Genomic DNA, 23,680 nt, shown 5'->3' with positions numbered 1-23,680 from the left:
CCACCACGCCTGGCTAATTTGTATTTTTAGTAGAGACGGGGTTTTACTGTGTTAGCCAGGATGGTCTCGATCTCCTGATCTCGTGATCTGCCCGCCTCGGCCTCCCAAAGTGCTGGGATGACAGGCTTGAATTGCCGCGCCCGGCCAGATGCAGACTTCTGAGAGGTCCGTGTTTGCAAACACTCTGTGTCTGGACGCATCTTGTCAGTTGGTCTCAGGCCAGACAGAGCCGTTTGAGAGAAAGGTGTGTGTGTAGTGCTCATCTGTCTGCTAGTGATATGAGCTTGGGGGTGCAACAGGCACGTGTCCAGCCCTCCAGTCCCCAAGAACGTTTGTGTTTTAATTAAACAGAGGAACAGACTATTCCACCCTGGGTCAAGCAGGCAGTGCCTACGCTACCTGTGACCACTACTTTAGGCGGGGAAAAGAACCGTCTTTGGCCGGGCGCGGTGGCTCACGCCTGTAATCCCAACACTTTGGGAGGCCAAGGCAGGCGGATAACGAGGTCAGGAGATCGAGACCATCCTGGCTAACACCGTGAAACCCTGTCTCTACTAAAAAATACAAAAAAATTGGCTGGGCACGGTGGCGGGCGCCTATAGTCCCAGCTACTCGGGAGGCCGAGGCAGGAGAATGGTGTGAACCCGGGAGGCGGAGCTCGCAGTGAGCTGAGATCGTGCCACTGCACTCCAGCCTGGGTCACAGAGCGAGACTCCGGCTCAAAAAAAAAAAAAGAACGACCGTCTTTTAAATTTGCTTTAAAAACAGCTCCTTGGCTTTAAAAAAGATTGGTTTTGGGAATTTGGCTAAGTTTATGTTCTCAGCAAACAAATCAGATGCCTCTTAAGAGCCAGGATTCTCCTCTCAGAAGGTTACTACCGTACAGCTGCGGGAGAGCTGTGGGATATGTCATCGTTGAATCAGCAGTTCTAGGAAAAGCGAACGATCTCTACTGGTTTCACGCACACTTGGCTAGCCTCAGCTGAATAATGCAGTCCAAGGAACATAAAAACACAAAAATCGTAAGCGTGAAAAATTTTAGTTCATTGGAAAAGGATTTTATTTCACCATAAAAATGCAAACTGGAATAAACACCATCTTTCCTAACGCGAACGTTACAGCTATTTTTAGGTATTTCTGAGCTTCACTTGGAGAAGCAAACGATTATAAAACAAGTTTGCAGCCTGAAATCTGTTTGAAACATTCCAAGTAAAAATAATTTAGCAAAACAGCTTCTTAAAAAAACCACACACACTAACCTTTACTAGAAACCAAAGCTTTTAACCAATCTTTTTTATGCTTAATTCCTTGACGTTGTAAAAAGTGAATGTTTTTGAAGGAGCATCAGACCATTTTGTACCACTCCCCACATACCGACACCTTAGAAAGAACGGCCCGTTTGAGTTTTGATCTTAAAGGACTTGTACCTTCCTCATCCGTGACTCAATGTCAGCACGACGATTCGGCATCCCACCCAAACTGCACTTCCTGATCAGTTAACATTACAAACGGGGGGGAAAGAATCACCAGGGCAACGCTTTCTTTTCAGTGCCAGTGTGACTATGGTGGCCCGTGCACCTCCTAGGCCGTGCACGCAGGGAGGTCGCCAAGCAGACACAGAAATCCCCGTGTGGGGGAATGCAGCAGCTCTGCCATCCTCACGACTGTCGGTCTGTGCAATTTTCCTGACTGAGAGAGGACCGGCCGCATTAAAGCTATCGGATCAAGTTTTAAAGGACTACGTGTTTGAAACTGAAGTGCCAAGTACGCTGCGGTGAGTGGAGAAAGATGGATCTCTAAAGCATGGTGTCTTCCTTCCTGCCGGCGGGCTCCGTGGACATTCGTGGCTGCAGAAGGGTCTTGGCTTTGCAGGGGTGGACGGAGAGCGGCCAAGGAGCGGCCAGGAGGCTCGAGCAGGTCCTGGTCTTTCCCGGACAGGCCGTGGGGAGGCCGTGCCCGTCATTACCTGTTCCAGGTACTGCGGTGCCTGCTCGGGGACCGGGAGCGCGACCGCTCGCTTCGGCGGCGGTGGCGGCTGTGCTTCCTGCTGGCGCTGCCCCTCCGCTCCCGGCTCCGCTCCCTCCGGTGCCTGTCTTTGCTGTGGGACCTCCGGGACCGGGTGTGGTCCGGGCTCGTGCTGCGCCGGCGGGGGCTGTCATCCTTGTAGGCGTGCTTCTTGTGGGGCCGCCGCTCCTTGCGTGGCCTCCCGTCCTCCCTGCTGCTGGCCCGCCTGGCCCGGCTCCTCTCCCGCTTGTGCCGGTCAGCAAGCCCGTCTCCGGTGGCCCGGCCCCGGCCCTTGCTGGGCTCCCGGTTGCACTTGTCCTGTTCTGACCGGGTGTCCTTTCTGGAGACATTCTGCTCGCAGGCAGGGATGCCCTTGGGCTGTTGGTTGTTGTCAGGAATGCAGGAGAGGACGCCGCCCGGGCACCTCTTCTCTGGAGAGCCATCCTCGGGGACCACACGACAGGAGCTCTGAACCTCCTTGCATGGGGCCTCCTCGGCCACGCTCCCGTTCACGCTTTTGGGAGCGCCGTCGGCCTCTGGGTGGGCCGGGCTCTCCTTGGGGGCACCGGCCGGGGGCTGGCCCCCGAGGGGGTGCAGCGTGGTGGCGCTCACACAGCCGGACGACACGGTCTGCAGGATGTCCAGGACGGGCTGCAGCAGGTCGGCGTGTGCCACGCCCAGCTCGTCGTGTGTGTGGCTGTCGTCCGGCTTCTTGCTCAGCAGGATGCTCAGCAGCCGCTCGCGCAGCTCCCGCTCTTTCCGCTGCAGGCCCAGCGCGCGCTCCTTCTCCTCCTCCACGCGCCGCAGCTCGGCCTCCTGCAGCCGCCGCCGCTCCTCCTGCTGCTGGAGCCTCAGCTTCTCCTCCTTCTGCTCCTGTTCCCGTAGCTTCACAGCCTGCGGGGAAGAGGAAAGTGCAGCTGAGCCCGGTTCCTGAGCCTGGCCGGACACGTGGGACAGGAGCTGGGAAGGTGTTTGGAGGCCCCATGGTCTGGGGATGCAGGATCAGCGGCCTGGCTGGACTCCAGCCCAGGGGTGGGGGGCGTCTCCTACGGCGAGCCAGGTCCAGCCCGTCCATCCCTCGGCTCCCGCGGCCACACCTGGGGCCATCATGCGTCTGAGTGAGAAGGAAACCCCTTGGCAAAGCGGCTCGGCGCAGCCCCAGGGCGGGCCTCTTGGGCAGAGCCGAGCCCTGCCGGGAGCCCCACCACGTTGCACACAGGCGCCTGCGGTTAGGTCACAAGCGGCCGCCAGCAACAGGGAGCTGAGATGACGCCGCAGACGCATGCCACCGCCGTAGCTGCGGGGCGAGCCTGGCCTAGCCTGGGTTAGTGTCTTCAATATTCACCATGAGGTAAGGACTGGGCTGCCACATGTCTCAGCCTCTTGTCATGCTCCTTCCCGGGGACTTATCACAACTGTAATCAGACAACAGGTTATGGGGTCGCCCCGCGTTGGACTCCAGGGGGACGCAGCCCTCCTGAGGACAAGGAGCGTGCCGGGGACGTCTGTCCTGGGGAGGTCTGTCTGTCTGTGGGCCCTGGCCCCGGGCTCATGGGAGTTACCAGTCGCGCCTGCAGGAGGAGCAGGGAGGCTCTTGGTGCTGAGGGGGTCGTCAGTACCGGCGCTGGTGAGACCTGTCAGGTTCACGCTGCGGAGGAGGGACCCGGGCCCACGGCAGGCCCCCTCTGTGCGCTCAGCCCTCCCCCCAGCCCACCTTGCCCCTCTGCTCTGGGCCACTGGTGAGGTCACAGCCAGGCCAGCTGACCACACACAGAGGCGCGGGCCAGAGGGAGCGGCCCCCTGCACTCTCTGCCACTGCCCCGACCCAAAGGAAACAGAGAGCCTCTGCCCTGGCCCCCGGGAGGCTGCCAGCCTGCTCGGGGAACCTGAATGCACCAGCTTTGCAAAAGGAAACCGTCACAGCTCTGAAATCATCGGGAACGACAGACGAGCGCTACACCCTCCCGGGAAGGAGCCGTCATCCTCGGCATTAAAGCTGGTTTCGTAGCTACAGCTGCAGCCGGCGGGGAAACGGCGCCGTGACGCCGCCCGCATTTCAGGGGAGGGCACTGAGGGCAGCCCGGGCGCGGCTGGCGGCTGCAGAGGGAGCCCCCGGGTACCTTGGCTCTGCTGAGCAGCTCGGCGATGAGCCGGATGGACTGCAGGTTCCTCTGGGCCAGCAGCAGCTTGCGCTCCTCCAGCTTGATCTTCTCCTGCAGCTGCTTCTGCTCCTCCGCCTGCAGCTTCTCCAGCTTCTTCTGATTCCGGCGCAGCTCACGGTCCCTCTGCTTCTGCTCCCTCTTGCGAAGCTTCTCTTCTCTTTTCCTCTCTCGCTCCAGCTCTTCCAGCTCCTTTTGTTTCCTGTGTGGAACACACCGGGGGTGGTCACAGAGAGCGCCGCAGCCAACACACCACACACCATACAAGCGGCTTTCCAAACACGGCGGAACAGGCCACGGTCCAACGATTAAGCATTTAACTCTTTATCCCAAGGTGGACCTCGGTTGACTCAAAGCAGCCCGAGAGGTGGAAGGAGTGAGCCGGGCGAGGACCTCCGTGACCTTCCAACACACCGTCCTGCTAAGTGTGACCCAACCCTGAAACCACGAAGAAAACGACCACTGGACCGACCACATCAAAAGCCACGCCCCCAGTCAGGGGAAAGACGGATGGGCAGACGGACGGGTGAAAGAGGAACCCCAGCAGGCCCAACAAGGCCCCGGGATGCACAGCGGCGCGGAGGACGCCGGTTCTGCCCACCAGGAACCGCGCTGGGTGACTCCTTGTTGTGCAGGACTCCTGTGAGGGCACCACACAGCACTGGCACGGGGGGACCTCTCTCTAAACAAATCCAACCACAGCCACGCCACTCAGCTCCTTGCACTTTTCCTGTGGAGAGGGGTGTCCAGGAAGTGAGGATGAATGCGGCCGGGGAGGGGCGCGGTCCCCAGAGAGAGTCCACAAGAGACAGTGGGGAGTTCCCTAGCTCAGCCTCCCCCGCCCCGCAGCTCTCAAATGCATTTCAACCAACACCGGACATGGGAACAAGTCGCAGCTGTTCCTATGGAACACGACACGGAGGCGGAGACTTCTGAAGCCCGGGTGGGCGCCGCCAACCGCCTAGTGAGGCCACAAAGCCCGCCGGGGTGACACAGACCCACGCAGACACCAAGGGGAGAGGAGACACGGGGACAAGGAGGAGCAGGCCGGGAGAAAAGGCATCCCACGCTCTGCCACCCCAAGAAGGGGGCCGGGCCAGGTGCCGACGCCCAGACAGTGATCCACACGGTCTCCGGGCGGGGCATGCAGGTCCTCAGGCAGTTTCATGTGCTGAAGGTTTAACCGCCCTGTGAGCTGTCACCGCCCCACGAGCTCGGAGGGCGGCTCAGGGCAGCCCAGCACACAGCACGCCCTTAGGCGGGACCCACAGCGACGCCTCGAGGCTGGGCAGCTTTCAGAGGACAGCTCTCATCAAGCTCAAAGTTACACGTGAGGGCTGAACAAGCAAACATGCCTCATCTCCACCCACCAGAAAGAAATGCAGGAGGCTGCCCTGGGCCTCCCCTCATGCTCAGCCTCTGAGGAAGGACAGTGGGGGACAGCGGGGACAAGTACGGCCCTGCGTGTGGAGCCCTCCTGGCCAGCTCCCCCAGACAACAGGCCTGCCCCTCCCCGGGGCTCTGGACACCCCATCCTGCTCTCGAGAACCTCATGGCCCGGCCCCGCTTCCCCCAATCCCTCTGTGGTCTGGCCAGGCAGACGGGGTCCCTTCCCTGCAGAGACACACTCCACTACTCCAACGTCCATCTCTCCTCAGGGAAAGATCAAGGATGCAGCTTCTTCTCCGCACCCGCAAGCTGCTTTCTGAAATGTTGCGGGGACACTCCTGCGACACCGAGAGGTCCGAGGCTCTGAGTCCCACTCCACACTTCCAGAATGTGGACAGGCACATTCAGCCAGGCCTGGGCTGTGTCTGCAGCCTGGAAGAGTCCCTGTAACGCCCCAGGACTGTCTCCCACCCCAGCTGTCCTGCTCGGCCTGACAGTGGCTGACACAGGGGACCCGGACTCAACCCCACATCCGAACCGCCCCTCCCAGGGACCGCCTCCCAGGATGGCGACGCAGCAGCATGTCCCTCCCTCCCAGGGCGTCTGCCTCTCTGTGCTGCCTGCCTTAGGTCCTGGGAATCCTGACGGCTGACATGGGCCCCCCCAGCACATTCACGGCCACTCGCTTACACACTGCACCTGCCTCACCTAAGGAGCCCTCGGGGTTCAGATTCAGAGGCTGACAACCCGACTCTCCCCTGGGGAGGCAACGGGGGCTACGTAAAGAACACCACGGGCAGGATGGACCTGCTCCCAGGAGTTCAGTGCCGGGACTCTCGTGCAAACATCACCAGCCACACACATCAACACGCTGGCACCAGCGTCACATAAAGCAGTGAGAAATGGAAACAAAACGGACCAACTCGGTCCCACCAGAGGCTGTCCAGGAGCCCCCCAGCCAAGTCCAACACGTCCCAGACTTGATATCGGCGACATGAAGCGCAACAGACGTGCAGGACGCACCAAAGTCGTCAGAGGACACAGCGGGAGGGACGGAGGACGAAGAGGAGTAGGAGGAGGAGGATTCCGCCTCACTAGGAGGGTGGGAGGGACGGAGAAGGAGGAGGAGGAATCCACCTCACTAGGAGGACACGGCAGGAGGGATGGAGGAGGAAGAGGACGAATCCGCCTCACTAGGAGGGCACAGCGGGAGGGATGGAGGAGGAAGAGGAGGAGGAGGAGGAATCCACCTCACTAGGAGGGTGGGAGGGACGGAGAAGGAGGAGGAGGAATCCACCTCACTAGGAGGGTGGGAGGGATGGAGGAGGAGGAGGAGGAATCCACCTCACTAGGAGGGTGGGAGGGATGGAGGAGGAGGAGGAGGAATCCACCTCACTAGGAGGGTGGGAGGGATGGAGGAGGAGGAGGAGGAATCCACCTCACTAGGAGGGTGGGAGGGATGGAGGAGGAAGAGGAGGATTCCGCCTCACTAGGAGGGTGGGAGGGATGGAGGAGGAGGAGGAGGAATCCACCTCACTAGGAGGGTGGGAGGGATGGAGGAGGAGGAGGAGGAGGAGGATTCCGCCTCAGGGGATTCACAGAAAGTTGTTGGTTCCCTCCTGCAATGCTAAGAAGATAAAAGGGGCTACAAAGAGTGACCTGAGGTTGTCTCTGGTACCCCAACCACAGTGAACGACCCAGGCAATTGCTTTAAAGGCCTCTTATGTGAAACCGGGTTTTTGTCCTATCATTGGTTTTTTGTTTTTTTTTTTTTTTTTAAATCTGGCCATCACCATCAACCCTCTACTTCATTTTGTAAATGTAGCCTCAACCTAAATGCAAACTTGCAAACAGCCAAGGCATTCTGCTTGTTTCAGCGGGAGGTGTGAACAGCATGTGGAGGGAGAAGAGGTGGCTCTTCGGGCAAGGCGCGGTCCTGGGAGCCGGCAGAGATCGTGTCAGACCACGACGTGTGACAAGAAAAAGAGAAACATTCATATTCTGCTGCGTCTCAAACAGCCACTCACGCAGGTCCTCACGTGCACAGCTGAGCACCCACAGGCCTGCACACACACCCATACGTGCACACACAAGTACACACACGGGTTCACAGGCACACACGCATGCACACAGGCACATGTGTGCTATGTGCCGATACAGAAGCACACACATGTGGGCACACGTGCACATACACACACAGGTACACACACGAGCTCACACACATGCACGCACACACAGGCACACGTGCACACAGATGCTCAGGCACACACTCGGGCGCACATAGGGACATACAAAGTACACACACCGGTTCACAGGCACACGTGCGTCCATGCACACAGGTACACACACAAGCTCACAAGCATGCATGCACACACACACGCACAGGAATACATGCAGACACACGCACACGGGTCTGCGCACACTCCCAGGTGCCGGACACCAGCGCCGAGGGCCCGCTCCCGCAGAAGGTACCTTTCCTCCGCTCGCTGCCTCTCCTCCGCTTCCTTCTCTCTGCGCTTTTGTTCTTCTCTTTGCTGCTCCAGTTCCTGAAGCTTCTGCCTCTCCAGCTGCCGCTTCTTAATTGAGGCATCACTCAGGTGTTTGGTCGAATCAAAAGAAACCTTTAAAAGCAAAAACAGTGTCAGATGGCCTTCCCCCAAAACCCCCCAGACACACGGCCAGGCGCCCTCTCCTGGGCCGTAGGGCCGAGTGGCCTCAGAGCCTGAGCGCCCGCTCACCGCTCACCGCTCACCACTCATGTCCGGTGCAGACCCAGACAGTGGAGCCCAGAAGCCAAACCAATCCCTTCAAGTCACCATCAGTGGCTCAAGACTTAGCTCATCCCACGGAGTTACGACTCAGCGAGGAACACCAACTAGCCCTCGCCACTTACTGAACACAAGTGACACGCCACCGCTGCGAGACACAGCTCCCCTTCCGCTACCCGGCTCCACCATTCCCTGTGGCCACAGTCACTGAGCAGGCCGCCTGCCCACACCCACAGGGCACATCTTAAGGCCACAAAACCCCCTCCAGGAGGCTGGCTCATTTGTCACTGTGAAGCCAACACGGTCAAAACACGAGGCTAGGCTGAGCGCAGTGGCTCACGCCTGTAATCCCAGCACTTTGGGAGGGCGAGGCAGGCAGTTCATGAGGTCAGGAGTTCGAGACCAGCCTGGCCAATACGGCAAAACCCTGTTTCTACTAAAAATACAAAAATTAGCCAGGTGTGATGGCACGCGCCTGTAGTCCCAGCTACTCGGGAGGCTGAGGCAGAAGAATCGCTCGAACCCAGGAGGCGGAGGATGCACTGAGCAAAGATTGCGCCACTGCACTCCAGTCCAGGAAACAGATCGAGACTCTGCCTCGAAAAAAAAATAAAAATAAAAAAAATAAAAAAAATAAAAAAGCACATGAGGCTAAAGGGAACGTTCAGCCCTGGTTTCAAGGTGCATTCTGGGAAGGCCGGGTTCTCTTGGTTCTGACACGGTTCAAATCCCTGTCAGAGTTCCTGAGGCTCCATCCCTCACCTACTATATGACCTGTGTCTCCCCCACATCTTCCTTAAGATACCAAATTTCCAAAACCACAGCACGGGACCCCTACTCCACCTCACGCCTGTGCCTCTGAAATTGGACAGGCACAGGACTGTTGCTGCCATTTTACTTAGGGGAGGTCCCCACAGCCTCAGGGGTGTGGCTGGGAGCGTTCTGCTGACCCTGCTGGAAGGAAGTCGCCAGAGGGAGGAAGCGCGTGGCTCTCTCGGTGCCCAGGACTCACCTTGATGTTGCAGGCCACGGCCTTGCCGTCCTCGCCCTTGTACATGAGTTTCATCCCGCGCAGGGCGCTCATGGCCTGGATGAAGCCCATGTACTCGCGGTACTGCACATAGGCCTCGAAGTTCAAGTGCCCCCCGAAACTGAAGGTGTGGAAGTTGCGGCCCGTCATCTCCTCCCGGTAGGGGTCCAGCATGGGGATGTCCACATTCCGGATCTCCCCGAACTTCTCAAACACCTTGACCAGGACGTCCTCGCTGGGCTTCTCGGAGCCCGACTCCTTCAGGGCGAACCACTTGCAGGGCAGCCCCTCCAGGTGGATGGTGTCCGGCCGCTCCCCCGGCAGGGTCTCGTTCATGTCCTTGGCGTCGCGGAAGAAGGAGTCCCAGTCGTGGCGGGTGGGGAAGTCGATCTTGAACTCGGCCGCGCGCACCTTCAGGATGTCGGAGAAGCCGCTGAGCTTGATGGTCTTGCCGTCCAGGCAGGCCAGAAAAGACTTGACCAGGCTCTTGTTCTCCACCTCCCCCTCGAAGCGGATGAAGTCCATGGTGCTCTTGGAAATACGCAGCGTGGAGAACTGGTGGTTCTGCACCATGCCCTTCAGCCTCTCCATCACCTCCCAGTTGGAGATGGACTTCCCCGGCTGCTTCAGCTGCGGGAGTGCCACGCTGATGGTCATCTTGGTGATGGGCTTCAGGTACAAGCCGTAAGCAGGGCAGAGCTCCACGGCCTCAGACGTGTCGTGCACGATGGTAGCCGCTGCCATAGCCTCCGGGACCTTGGGCCTGAAACATAAGACGCAGACAGTCAGCACCAGCACCCCCCACCTCCCCCGCCAATGAGGAGGGGCCAAGCCAGCAGGCACTTTCTGGACCCGGAGAAGAGAAACAGCAGTGTCTCTCTGCCGTGTCAGAGACCGGTTTCCACTTTGTTAACAGCCATCTCAACGGAGTTCTTTACTTTTTGAAATCATTAAGAGTACACCAAAGGGGAAAGAGCCGAGCTGATAAAGAACAGGTTAGTGTCAAAGCCTCGGTCAGCACTGCCCGACACCCTACATCCAGCAGCCAGCAGCTCCCAAGGCCTGCAGAATAGGAAGCTGAGCACGACCAGGCCCCTCACACAGGTCAAGTAGGAACGGGGACGCTACAAACGCCTAGCTCCACGGGAAGGGGCAGAGAGACACTGGGGAAGGGAAGGGGCCAGGGAGAGCACAGCTGCAGGCATCTGGAAAGGTTTTGTGGAGGGGGCGGCGGCCCTGTACTTGCCCTGATAAAACAGGAAGTCTCGGGCTGCAACAACAATCCAGAACCATGAACCCTAGTAATCTCCACGAAGGCCAAACGTATCCCAGCTTTAACCCACTCAAAGCCAAAAAGTACAACGAACTTTCCACAAGTTAGGGGCCGGAGTCCCCCGTCTGCGCCTTCTTTCTCCGCCCACCTTCATTAACCCACCTCTTCCCTGCTGAGCTGACGGGCAGCCACTTCCTGACGGCCAAGTCCAAGTAGAGGAAGCTTCACTCGCAGAAACCCAACCATCTCAGGTGACCGCCTCCGGCCCGGCCGCCCACCCCATCAACCTGGAGGCTTCCTGCCAGGCCCAGGAGACGGCCTCCTCGCCCAAGCCCGAGGTGGGAGGTGCGAAAGAAGGGAGGGAGGGTGGAGAAGCGACCAGAAAAGGTCAGTGGGGCACCAGGGAGGGGCTCCAGTCTGGACAGAGACCAGTGAACCCTCCCCCAGAACCCAAGCGGCCCCAGCAACTTCACCACCGAGGAACCCTCCCCACTCTGGCCTCCAGCGCCCTCCGACCACCCCGGTACACCTGGCTGCCCAATCCCCAGTACGCGGCATTGCCCCTGGTATTCCCACCTACCGCAGCCCCCCAGCATGGCCTCAGGCTGCCGCTGGCACCCCTGGCAGGGCCCCACACATTCTCAGGCCCTTGGCCACTCGGTACCCTCAGCTCCTCAGTTCCCCGCTCCCCACCACCCTCCTGGATGAGCCCCAATACCCCAACCTACACAGCACCGCCCCAGCCTCCGAAAACCCCGGACAGCCCCTTGCTTCCCACTGTAGACCTAGGAGCGACCGCAGCGCCACGTCCCCTAGTCCCAGGCCTCCTAGTCTCCCGCCCATCCGATCCCCCGAGCTCCCAGCCCTCCGACACCGCTCCAGGCCTCAGCTCCTTCGGTGCAGTCCCAGGAACCGCTCCAGCCCCTACCCCTACTTCCAGGGACCCCCGGACCCCGACCGCAGACCTCCCCAGCCCCCGATTCCCCCGTACAGTTTCAGGCGCTCCCAGCCCCCCGGTGGCACCCCACGCCCCCCAACCCCAGCCCCGTCACCTCCGAGGCCCCTAGGCGCCGCCTCCCAAGCCCCGGCCCCCCGGGCCCGGCCCTAGGAGCGAAGCGTTCGCCGGCTGCAGCCAGGCCCGGGAGGCACGGGGGCGGCACTCACCTGCGCGGGGCTCCGCCTGCGTCCCAGGCCGCCGCCGCCGCTGGCCCAAGCTCCCGCCGTCCCTCGACGATCCCCGGACAGGCGCGGCCTCACCGCCGGGAGCCGCCACCGTCCCCCGGAGGCGCCTCCGACGCCGCCACCGCCGTCGCCGCCCGCCCTCTATGACGCATTTCCACTTCCGGCGCGCGGGCTCGCGGAAGAGGCCGCGCGGCAGCACCGGGTTTCTCCTTCTTGCCCTGGCTCCGCCCCCGGGAGGAGGGACTTCCGGGAGCCCGACCTTTTGCACTGCGCGTGCGCGAGTCCGCCCCGCCCCCATGGTGCCACCTGCCTGCGGGTAACCAGGGGAGGTACTTGGGCCAGGGTCTGTGGTCATAGCCCTTAAGCCAAACAGGAGGGGGGCCGGTGTGGGGTCTAAATTCCAATTGTAGAGTCAAATATATATAACAAAATTCTAAAATGTAATAGGATCCTATAACGGGATTCTATACTATACTTGCAAATTATGGGTAATATACTTGAATAATATAATTTATGTATAAATTAGATATCATATTCTATGACGTAATTATAGAATTACATATAAATTGCTAGTTAATTAACTATTAATTGAATGGTTAATAATTATTAATTGTATATTAATAATTATTAACGCATACCATTACATAATGTAATTATGAAATAATAAATGATAACTTACAATGGTATTATGAAATTAATAATAATTTATATTGCAATTATGAAATAAATGATCATTTCTAATTATAAGATAATTTATAATGTAATTATGAAATAAATATAATGTAATTTAAAAATAAATGATAATCTAATGTAATTATGAAGCAAATGCTATTGTATAATATAATCATAATTTATAATGTAATTTTGGAATAATAAATGATAATCTATAGTGTAATTATGAAATAAATGAAAATATATAATGTAATTCTGAAATGATCATTTATAATGTAATTATGAAATAATAAATGACAATTTATAATGTGATTACAAAATAATAAATGAGGCCAGGTGCGGTGGCTCACGTCTGTAATGCCAGCACTTTGGAGGGCCAAGGCGGGCAGATCACAAGGTCAGGAGTTCAAGACCAGCCTGGGGCCGGGCCCGGTGGCTCATGCCTGTAATCCCAGCACTTTGGGAGGCCGAGATGTGCGGATGATGAGGTCAGGAGATCGAGACCATCCTGGCTAACACGATGAAACCCCGTCTTTACTAAAATACAAAAAATAATCAGCCGGGCGTGGTGGTGGGCACCTGTAGTCCCAGCTACCAGCTACTCGGGAGGCTGTGGCAGGAGAATGGCGTGAACCTGGGAGGTGGGGCTTGCAGTGAGACCGTGCCACTGCACTCCAGCCTGGTTGACAGAGCGAGACTCCATGTCAAAACAAAACAAAAAAAAGACCAGCCTGGCCAGCATGGTGAAACCCCGTCTCTACTAAAAAGACAAAAAACTAGCCGGGTGTGGAGGTGGTTGCCTATAGTCCCAGCTACTCAGGAGGCTGAGGCAGGCCCGAGAATCACTTGAACCCAGGAGGCAGAGGTTGCAGTGAGCGAAGATGGCGCCACTGCACTCCATCCTGGGCAACAGAGCGAGACTCTGTCTCCAATAAATAAATAAATAAGTAATGATAATTTATAATGCATTATTCATTTTTTATTATAATTTATTGTTTATTAAGTATGCCATGCTCTATGTGAGAGGTACGTGCTTCTGACGTCCCAAATATGTCACAAGTCCCCAAACTGGATATCCAGGGTCAGATAATCAGAACAGAAATCTTGCATTGCTCAACATCAGCTATCAACAAAGGAGAAAGCCAACACACCAGGGGCCTGAGGAAGACGGAACATTCTGTGAACCCAGGCAGGCTTCAGAGGGGCCGGGCTGTGTAAGAGGGTTGCTATGCCTTCCATGTTTCTGTCCTTCCAAAACTCAAGTTCAAACTCAGTTCCCACTGCAAGAGTATTAGAGGTGGTGCTTTTAGGAGGTGGTTAGGTCATGAGTGGGATTTGTGCTCTTAGAAGACAGGCCCCAGAGAGCTCTCTCACCCCTTCCACCATGTGAGGACACAGCCAGAAGGAACCACCTGTGAACCAGCAAGCGGGTCCTCACTAGACACTGAACCTCCCACTCATTGATCTTGGACTCTCAGCCTCCAGAACCGTGAGACATAAAAGTCTGTGATTTAGGCCGGGTACAGTGGCTCATGCCTGTAATCCCAGCACTTTGGGAAGCCGAGGCGGGTGGATCACCTGAGGTCAGGAGTTTGAGACAATTGTGGCCAACATGGTGAAACCCTGTCTTTACTAAAAATACAAAAATTAGCTGGGCGTGGTGGTGCGCACCTGTAATCCCAGCTATTCAGGAGGCTGAGGCAGGAGAATTGCTTGAACCCGGGAGGTGGAGGTCGCAATGAGCCAAGATTGCGCCATTGCACTCCAGCCTGGATGACAAGAGGAAGACTCCATCTCAAAAGAAGGGGAGGGGAGGGGAAGGGAGGGGAATGGAGGGGAAGGGAGGGGAAGGGAGAGGAGGGGAGGGGAAGGGAGGGGAATGGAGGGGAAGGGAGGGGAATGGAGGGGAAGGGAGGGGAAGGGAGAGGAGGGGAGGGGAAGGGAGAGGAGGGGAGGGGAAGGGAAAGGAGGGGAGGGGAGGGGAAGGGAGGGGAGGGGAAGGGAGGGGAGGGGAGGAGGGGATGGGAGGAAAGAAGGGAAGGGAAGGGGAGGGGAAGGGGGGAGGAGAGGGGAGGGGAAGGGAGCGGAGGAAAGGGGAGGGGGGAGGGGAAGGGAGGGGAGGGGAGGAGGGGATAGGAGGAAAGAAGGGAAGGGAAGGGGAGGGGAAGGGGGGAGGAGAGGGGAGGGGAAGGGAGTGGAGGAAAGGGGAGGGGGAGGGGAAGGGAGGGGAGGGGAAGGGAAGGGAGGGGAGGGGAGGCGAAGGGGGAGGAGAGGGGAGGGGAAGGGAAGGGAGGGGAGGGGGAGGGGAAGGGAGAGGAGGGGAGGGGAAGGGAGAGGAGGGGAGGGGAAGGGAAAGGAGGGGAGGGGAGGGGAGGGGAAGGGAGGGGAAGGGAGAGGAGGGGAGGGGAAGGGAGAGGAGGGGAGGGGAAGGGAAAGGAGGGGAGGGGAGGAGAGGGGAAAGGAGGGGAGGGGAGGGGAAGGGAGGGGAGGGGAAGGGAGGGGAGGGGAGGAGGGGATGGGAGGAAAGAAGGGAAGGGAAGGGGAGGGGAAGGGGGGAGGAGAGGGGAGGGGAAGGGAGTGGAGGAAAGGGGAGGGGGGAGGGGAAGGGAGGGGAGGGGGGAGGGGAAGGGAGGGGAGGGGAGGGGAGGGGAAGCGAAGGGAGGGGAGGGGGGGAGGGGAAGGGAGAGGAGGGGAGGGGAAGGGAAAGGAGGGGAGGGGAGGGGAAGGGAGGGGAAGGGAGAGGAGGGGAGGGGAAGGGAGAGGAGGGGAGGGGGAGGGAAAGGAGGGGAGGGGAGGAGAGGGGAAAGGAGGGGAGGGGAAGGGAGGGGAGGGGAAGGGAGGGGAGGAGGGGATGGGAGGAAAGAAGGGAAGGGAAGGGGCGGGGAAGGGGGGAGGAGAGGGGAGGGGAAGGGAGCAGAGGAAAGGGGAGGGGGGAGGGGAAGGGAGGGGAGGGGAGGAGAAGGAAGGGGAGGGGAGGGGAGGGCAGGGGAAGGGAGGGGAAGGGAGGGGAAGGGAGGGGAAGGGAGGAGGGGATGGGAGGAAAGAAGGGAATGGAAGAGGAGGGGAAAGGAAGGGAGGAGAGGGGAGGGGAAGGGGGGGAGGAGAGGGCAGGGGAAGAGGGGGAGGAGAGGGCAGGGGAAGGGGGGAGGAGAGGGGAGGGGAAGGGGGGAGGAGAGGGGAGGGGAAGTGGGGAGGAGAGGGGAGGGGAAGGGGGGAGGGGAGGGGAAGGGGGAGGGGAGGGGAGGGGAAGGGGGGAGGAGAGGGGAGGGGAAGGGAGGGGAGGAGAGGGGAAGGGAAGGGAGGGGAGGAGAGGGGAGGGGAAGGGAGGGGAAGGGAGGGGAGAGGAGGGGAGGGGAAGGGAGGGGAAGGGAGGGGAGGGGAGGGGAGGGGAAGGGAAGGGAGAGGAGGGGAAGGGAGGGGAGGGGAGGGGAGGGGAAGGGAAGGTAGAGGAGGGGAAGGGAGGGGAGGGGAAGGAAGAAGAGGGCTTGTGGGTATTTGGGGGGGCGTTTGCATTGTGTGAGCCATGATGTCCATAAAGGCTAATATTAATATGATTATGAGTCTCTACTTGACCAAGGAGAAAACAAACACACCAGGGTCCCCAGGACGGGGACCATTCTGTGAACCCAAGCAGGCTTCTCAGTGAGACACACCCCTTTGCTGCCTGCATGTACATTCTTCTTCTTCTTAGGGACACGAAAGCGTTTGGGGTTCTCTTTAAAATTCTTCTCGCTGCTGCTGCTTTACATACCATTGGTGTGTGTTTCCCGGGGGGAGCTGTTAAATTGGGAAACCACTTTGCCACTCAGCTAGTTCCCTGAAGGTATTTGCAAAGCAAATTCAGAAGGAGATATTCACTCCTTCAGAACCAGCAAGCACCAAAGGATGGTTATAATAATCTGGAAAACCTTTAAGGAAAATGCTTGGCCTCCTAAAGCATTTTGGAGCAAAACATCCCTCTCCTGAATGTACCCCAGAAATAAAAAAACAAAGTTCTCGGATATCTGCAGCCGTAATCCTTTGTCATGGGGAGGTAGCCATGAGTCTTTGTTGTGTACCCAGTCTGTATCATTTCCATGAATTGAGCATGAAAGGCAAATAAAAAGATTCTGAGATATCAGTCTCATGATGCTGCAGCAAAGGTGCTGGAACTTTCCAGATGCAATAAGCTCTCTAGTCAACAGACTTCAAGATCATCAAACAGGAGAGTATTCTAGGTAGGCCCGACCTAATCAGGTGAGCACTTTAAAAGAAGGTCTGGGGCTGGGCACGGTGGCTCACGCCTGTAATCCCAGCACTTGGGGAGGCCGAGGCAGGTGGATCACGAGGTCAGGAGTTCGAGACCAGCCTGGCCAAGATGGTGAAACCCCATGTCTACTAAAAATACAAAAAATTAGCTGGGCGTGGTGGCACACGCCTGTAATCCCAGCTACTCCGGAGGCTGAGGCAGAGAATTGCTTAAACCTGGAGGGGCGGAGCTTGCAGTGAGCCGAGATCGCACCACTGCACTCCAGCCTGGGCAACAGAGCGAGACTCTGTCTCAAAAAAAATAAATACATTAAAAAAAATAAATAAACAAGAAAGGCTGGGTGCGGTGGCTCAGGCCTGTAATCCCAGCACTTGCGGAGGCCAAGGCGGGTGGATCATGAGGTCAGGAGTTCGAGACTAGCCTGGCCAACGTGATGAAACCCCGTCTCTACTAAAAATACATTAACCTGGAGGGGCGGAGCTTGTAGTGAGCCGAGATCTGGCCACTGCACTCCAGCCTGGGCGACAGAGCGAGACTCTGTCTCAAAACAAACAAACAAACAAACAAACAGGCTCATGCCTGTAATCCCAGCACTTGGGGAGGCCAAGGCAGGTGGATCACGAGGTCAGGAGTTCGAGACCAGCCTGGCCAACATGGTGAAACCCCGTTTCTACTAAAAATATGAAAATTAGCTGGGCGTGGTGGCGTGCACCTGTAATCCCAGTTACTCGGGAGGCTGAGGCGGGAGAATCGCTTGAACGTGGGAGGCCGAGGTTGCAGTGAGCCGAGATCATGCCACTGCACTCCAGTCTGGCAACAGGGCAAGACTCTGTCTCAAAAACAAACAAACAAACAAAAACAAACAAAAAACAAAAAACACAACAACAACAAAAACAAAAAACAAAAAACACAACAAAAACAAAAAAAACAAAAATAAAAAAACGAGAAGAGTCCACAGCACATTCCTCGGACATTCAGCCTCATTGCCTCTGCTCTAGCTCTTCTGGGAGCATCTGGAAGATCTGGAAGCATCTGGAAGATCTGCGTGCATCATCCTGCTTGTCTATTCTTGGGTGACTTGATGTCTCTTGAGGAGCTGGTTTCTGTGAACTCTGTGAAATCCTCTTGGACCCTCTGCATCTCTTCACCTGAAAAATGGAGAAAAAGGTTTTCAGCTGTTTTGGGTTGACCTGGATGAATGGGAGGAATTTCTGCATGATGCTTCTGAGGTGGGCTGTTTCCCTGAAATATCTTTTTTGTTTTGTTTTGTTTTTTTGAGACGGACTCTCGCTCTGTTGCCCAGGCTAGGGTGCAGAGATGCAATCTCAGCTGACTGCAAACTCGGCCTCCTGGGTTCAAGGGATTCTCCTGCCTCAAGCCGCCGAGTAGCTATGATTACAGGTACACCAACATGCCTGGCTAATTTTTTTTTTTTTTTTTTTTTGACAGAGTCTCGCTCTGTCTCCCAGGCTGGAGTGCAGTGGCGCGATCTTGGCTCACTGCAACCTCCGCCTCCCGGGTTCACGCCATTCTCCTGCCTCAGCCTCCCGAGTAGCTGGGACTACAGGCGCCTGCCACCACGTCCGGCTAATTTTTTTTTTGTTTTTAGTAGAGACGGGGTTTCACCGTGTCAGCCAGGATGGTCTTGATCTCCTGACTTCGAGATCTGCCCGCCTTGGCCTCCCAAAGTGCTGGGATTACAGGCGTGAGCCACCACGCCCGGCCCATGCCTGGCTAATTTTTGTATTTTTAGTAGAGATGGGGTTTCACCATGTTGGCCAGGCTGGTCTTGAACTCCTGACCTCAAGTGATCCACCTGCCTTGGCCCCCCTAATAGCTAGGATTACAGGCGTGAGCCATGGCACCCGCCCTGAAAAATCTGTTTCTTTCTTTACTTTTCTTTTTTTTTTTTTTTTATAAAGATGGGGTCTTGCTATGTTGCCCAGGCTGGTCTGAAACTCATAGGCTCAAACGATCCTTCCACCTTGACCTCCCCAAGTGCTGGGATTGCAGGCGTGGAGCCACCGTGCCCAGCCGGCAAAGTCTGTTTCTGACTCTGTCCACCTGTTCAGAAGTATGCAATAGAAATGGCTCTTTTTGCCATTGAAAGTAATTCATTGGCATTACTTTCAATGGCAAAACCCACAGTTACTTTTGGATGGACCCAAGAGAAACAGGAGAGCAGGTGCAAGGAGCCTATTCCTTCATGGTTTAACTGCTTGCTTCTGACTCTGCCCTTTGAAAGGAGAGATTCAGTGGTGGTTATTGTACAACACACTGGACAGTGATGAACTCACAGACAACCACATACACCTCTCTGTCTGCACCTTCCATCCGTAATACTTTGCCAAGATGGGGTGCCCAGGCCTGTACCCCCACTGCTTTCAGAGGCTGAGGCCAGAGGATCACCTCATCCCAGGAGTTCAAGACCAGCCTGGGCAACCTAGCAAGACCCCATCTCTGCAAACATAATTAGTCGAGTATGCTGGTGCATGCCTGTAATCCCAGCTATTTGGGAGGCTGATTTAGAAGGATTGCTTGAGCCCAGGAATTCAGGATCAGCCTCTGCAGCACAGCAAGACTCCATCTCTACAAAAAAAAAAAATAATAATAATAATACAAAAAGTTAGCCAGGTGTGGTTGCATGTGCTTGTAGTCTCAGCTACTTAGGAGGCTGAGGTGGGAGGACTACTTCAGCCCGGTAGGTCAAGGCTGCAATGAGTTATGATCGCAACACTGCCCTCCAACCCGGGCAAAGGAGCGAGACCTTTTTTCAAAATAATAATGACAATAATCATAATAAGCACAATAATAATCATGCATTTTCTTCCACAGACTTATACAGGGGACGCTGGTACACTTCAAAAGAAAATTCCAGCTGGGCACAGTGGCTCACGCCTGTAATCCCAGCACTTTGGGAGGCCGAGGTGGGTAGATCACGAGGTCAGGAGATCAAGACCATCCTAGCGAACACTGTGAAATCCCATCTCTAATAAAATACAAAAAACTTAGCTGGGCGTGGTGGCACGTGGCTGTAGTCCCAGCTGCTCAGGAGGCTGAGGCAGAGGAATCGTCTGAACCCGGGAGGTGGAGGTTGCAGTGAGCCAAAATCACACCACTGCACTCCAGCCTGGCGACAGAGCAAGACTCCATCTCACAAAAAAAAAAAAGAGAGAAAGAAAAGGAAAGAGAAAGAAAGAAAGAAAGGAAAGAAAGAAAGAAGGAAGGAAGGAAGGAAGAAAGAAAGAAAGAAAGAAAGAAAGAAAGAAAGAAAGAAAGAAAGAAAGAAAGAAAGAAAAGAAAAGAAAAGAAAAGAAATATAGGAAGAAAATTCCAGTCCTCATCTTGCTAAATGTTGGAAGAAAGATGGAGATTTAAGGAATACTGTCCAGAAGTCCCAGAGGAGATTTTAAGGCGTGAGGACACTGACCCATTTGCCCAAAGAAACAGCAAACCACGCTGAAAATGCAGAGTCCGTGTTTGAACCAGAGGAGGGCACTCAGTAAACAAACATTCCACTCCGGGAAACGGGGTAATTCTCTCCACCATCGCGTGAGAGGCCGTGCGGGCCAGAGGAAGTGACAGATAAAAACAGATTTCTAACTCAGCACAACACAACCACAGGCTCTACCTGGACGCTATGAGCTCATGTATGACTCAGACACTCATCTAGACCCACGGCCATTCCATCCTTCTGCAGCACGGACGGTTCCTACAATCTCTCCTGTGAAAAATACATCCGCCCCCCGCTTAATATCCCTTCTCTGTCCTCCTCGGCAGACCACACCCTAGCCCAAGTCATTTTTTTTTTTTAATATCAGCGTTTTGTATTCTTCTGCAAAGTGCTTATCATCAGCTGAAGCCATTTGTGCTTTGCTTTTCTGCAGTGAAGATTTCAGCATGCCGTTGGCCAGGTGCAGTGTCTCATGCCTGTGATCCCAGCACTTTGGGAGGCCGAGGGGGGAGGATTACTTGAGGCCGGAAGTTCAAGGCCAGCCTGCGCAACATGGCGAGACCCTCCCGTCTGTAAAAAGAAGAAAAAGAAAAAAATGAGCTGGGCGTGGTGGCACACACCTGTAGTCTCAGCCACTCGGGAGGGGCTGAGGCACAAGGATCGCTTGAGCCCAGGAGTTCCAGCCCGCAGTGAACTACGATTTTGCCACTGCACTCCAGCGTGGGCAACAGAGCTGGACTCTGTCTCAAAAAAAAAAAAAAAAAAAAAGAATTGTAATGATTTCCAAACAGACGTCTACCTCTTTTCTTGGAAGGATTGCTGGAGCCCGGGAATTCAGGACCGGCCTGGGCAATATAGCAAGACTCCATCCCTACAAAATAAATAAATAAATAAATAAATAAATAAATAAATAAATGAAATATAAAAAGTTAGCCAGGTGTGGTCATCTTAAGCGGGCTTTGGCCCCTGGAGGGTCTAACAATGTAATTTATCAGTCAAGAAAAGAGATGCATAAAACATAGACTCTACCTCAAAATCTGTCAATCAATCAATTACATTAAATAATATCAGCCAAGAAAAAATATATGAGAGTAAGACCCTGCCTCAAAATCAATCAATTAATTAATAACAGCCAAGAAAAGAGATGCCTAAGGCAGAGCGAGACTGTGCCTCAAAATCAATCAATTAAAGTAAATAATATCAGCCAAGAAAAGAGATGTGAAAACAGAGACCCTACCTCAAAATCAATCAATTAATTAAAGTAAATAATATCAGCCAAGAAAAAATATGTAAGAGAGACGCTGCCTCAAAATCAATCAATTAATTAATAACAGCCAAGAAAAGAGATGCCTAAGACAGAGCGAGGCTGTGCCTCAAAATCAATCAATTAATTAAAGTAAATAATATCAGCCACGAAAAAATATGTAAGAGAGACTATGCCTCAAAATCAATCAATCAATTAATTAATATCAGCCAAGAAAAGAGATGCCTAAGACAGAGCGAGACTGTGCCTCAAAATCAATCAATTAATTAAAGTAAATAATATCAGCCAAGAAAAGAGATGTGAAAACAGAGACCCTACCTCAAAATCAATCAATTAATTAAAGTAAATAATATCAGCCAAGAAAAAATATGTAAGAGAGACCCTGCCTCAAAATCAATCAATCAATTAATTAATAACAGCCAAGAAAAGAGATGCCTAAGACAGAGCGAGACTGTGCCTCAAAATCAATCAATTAATTAAAGTAAATAATATCAGCCAAGAAAAAATATGTAAGAGAGACTATGCCTCAAAATCAATGAATTAATTAATATCAGCCAAGAAAAGAGATGCCTAAGACAGAGCGAGACTGTGCCTCAAAATCAATTAATTAAAGTAAATAATATCAGCCAAGAAAAGAGATGTGAAAACAGAGACCCTACCTCAAAATCAATCAATCAATTCATTAAATAATAAGAGGCAAGAAAAGAGATGTCTAAGAGGTGGGCATATTGGGACATGCAGTATCAGTTTCAACCTCCAGGAGGGGCTGGAGAGTAAAGCTCAGTGGCAGAGACAGAAGGTGGTGGTGGCCCCGGTAAAAACTCCAGACACTGAGGTTCTGATCAGCTTCCCTGGTGGGCTGACTTGACGTCTGTCATCACACATTGATGCTAAGAGGAGGGAACAGCACCCGTGAGTCCTTGGGGAGAGGACAATGGAAGCTGTGGGTCTCAGCTCCTCCTTGACTCTCTCTTGTACATCTCTTTGCTTGGCTGATGTTACTTAATTAAATTAATTCATTGATTGATTTTCAGGCAGGGTCTCACTCTGTCTTAGGCATGTCTTTTCTTCGCTGATATTATTTAACTTAATAATTGATTGATTGATTGATTTTGAGGTAGGGTCTCTGTTTTATGCATCTCTTTCCTTGACTGATATTATTTGTTTAATTGATTAATTGTTTGGTTTCGAGCAGGGTCTCACTCTCTTATACATCTCTTTTCTTGCCTGATATTATTTAATTTAATTAATTGATTGATTGATTTTGAGGTAGGGTCTCTGTTTTACGCATCTCTTTTCTTGGCTGATATTACTTACTTTAATTGATTGATTTTGAGGCACAGTCTCCCTCTGTCTTAGGCATCTCTTTTCTTGGCTGATATTATTTAATTTAATTAATTGATTGATTTTGAGGTAGGGTCTGTTTTATGCATCTCTTTCCTTGACTGATATTATTTATTTAAGTGATTAATCGGTTGGTTTCGAACAGGGTTTCACTCTCTTATACATCTCTTTTCTTGCCTGATATTTAATTTAATTAATTGATTGATTGATTTTGAGGTAGGGTCTCTGTTTTACGCATCTCTTTTCTTGGCTGATATTTTTACTTGAATTGATTGATTTTGAGGCACACTCTCGCTCTGTCTTAGGCATCTCTTTTCTTGGCTGATATTATTTAATTTAATTAATTGATTGATTGATTTTGAGGTAGGGTCTCTGTTTTATGAATCTCTTTCCTTGACTGATATTATTTGTTTAATTGATTAATCGGTTGGTTTCGAGCAGGGTTTTGCTCTCTTATACATCTCTTTTCTTGCCTGATATTTAATTTAATTTAATTAATTGATTGATTGATTTTGAGGTAGGGTCTCTGTTTTCACATCTCTTTTCTTGGCTGATATTATTTACTTTAATTGATTGATTTTGAGGCACAGTCTCGCTCTGTCTTAGGCATCTCTTTTCTTGGCTGATATTAATTAATTGATTGATTTTGAGGCAGGGTCTCTCTTACATATTTTTTCTTGGCTGATATTAGTTAATTAATTGATTGATTGATTTTGAGGTAGGGTCTCTGTTTTACACATCTCTTTTCTTGGCTGATATTATTTACTTTAATTAATTGATTGATTTTGAGGCACAGTCTCGCTCTGTCTTAGGCATCTCTTTTCTTGGCTGTTATTAATTAATTGATTGATTGATTTTGAGGCAGGGTCTCACTCTCATATATTTTTTCTTG

The 23,680-nt window shown here is 53.7% G+C and overlaps 1 protein-coding gene across 2 annotated transcripts; it reads right to left on the bottom strand.

The window, feature by feature from the left end:
• Window positions 1,037-11,953, bottom strand: AKAP17A (A-kinase anchoring protein 17A). Of its 2 annotated transcripts, NR_027383.2 has the most exons (6): window positions 11,788-11,953; window positions 9,333-10,113; window positions 8,025-8,173; window positions 4,125-4,365; window positions 3,350-3,419; window positions 1,037-2,898 (listed from the first exon to the last, which is right to left on the bottom strand). NR_027383.2 is itself a non-coding variant. In NM_005088.3 (5 exons), exons 2-5 carry the CDS (start codon window positions 10,092-10,094, stop codon window positions 1,963-1,965), a joined length of 2,088 nt encoding a protein of 695 aa, NP_005079.2. In that variant the 5' UTR covers window positions 10,095-10,113; window positions 11,788-11,953; the 3' UTR covers window positions 1,037-1,962. The 2 variants fall into 2 exon arrangements, 1 of the variants encoding a protein (NP_005079.2); NM_005088.3 differs by lacking the exon at window positions 3,350-3,419.

This window comes from Homo sapiens, chromosome X (assembly GCF_000001405.40).
Source record: "Homo sapiens chromosome X, GRCh38.p14 Primary Assembly".
Taxonomy (NCBI): domain Eukaryota; kingdom Metazoa; phylum Chordata; class Mammalia; order Primates; family Hominidae; genus Homo; species Homo sapiens.
This window is presented reverse-complemented; position numbering and strand designations above follow the sequence as displayed.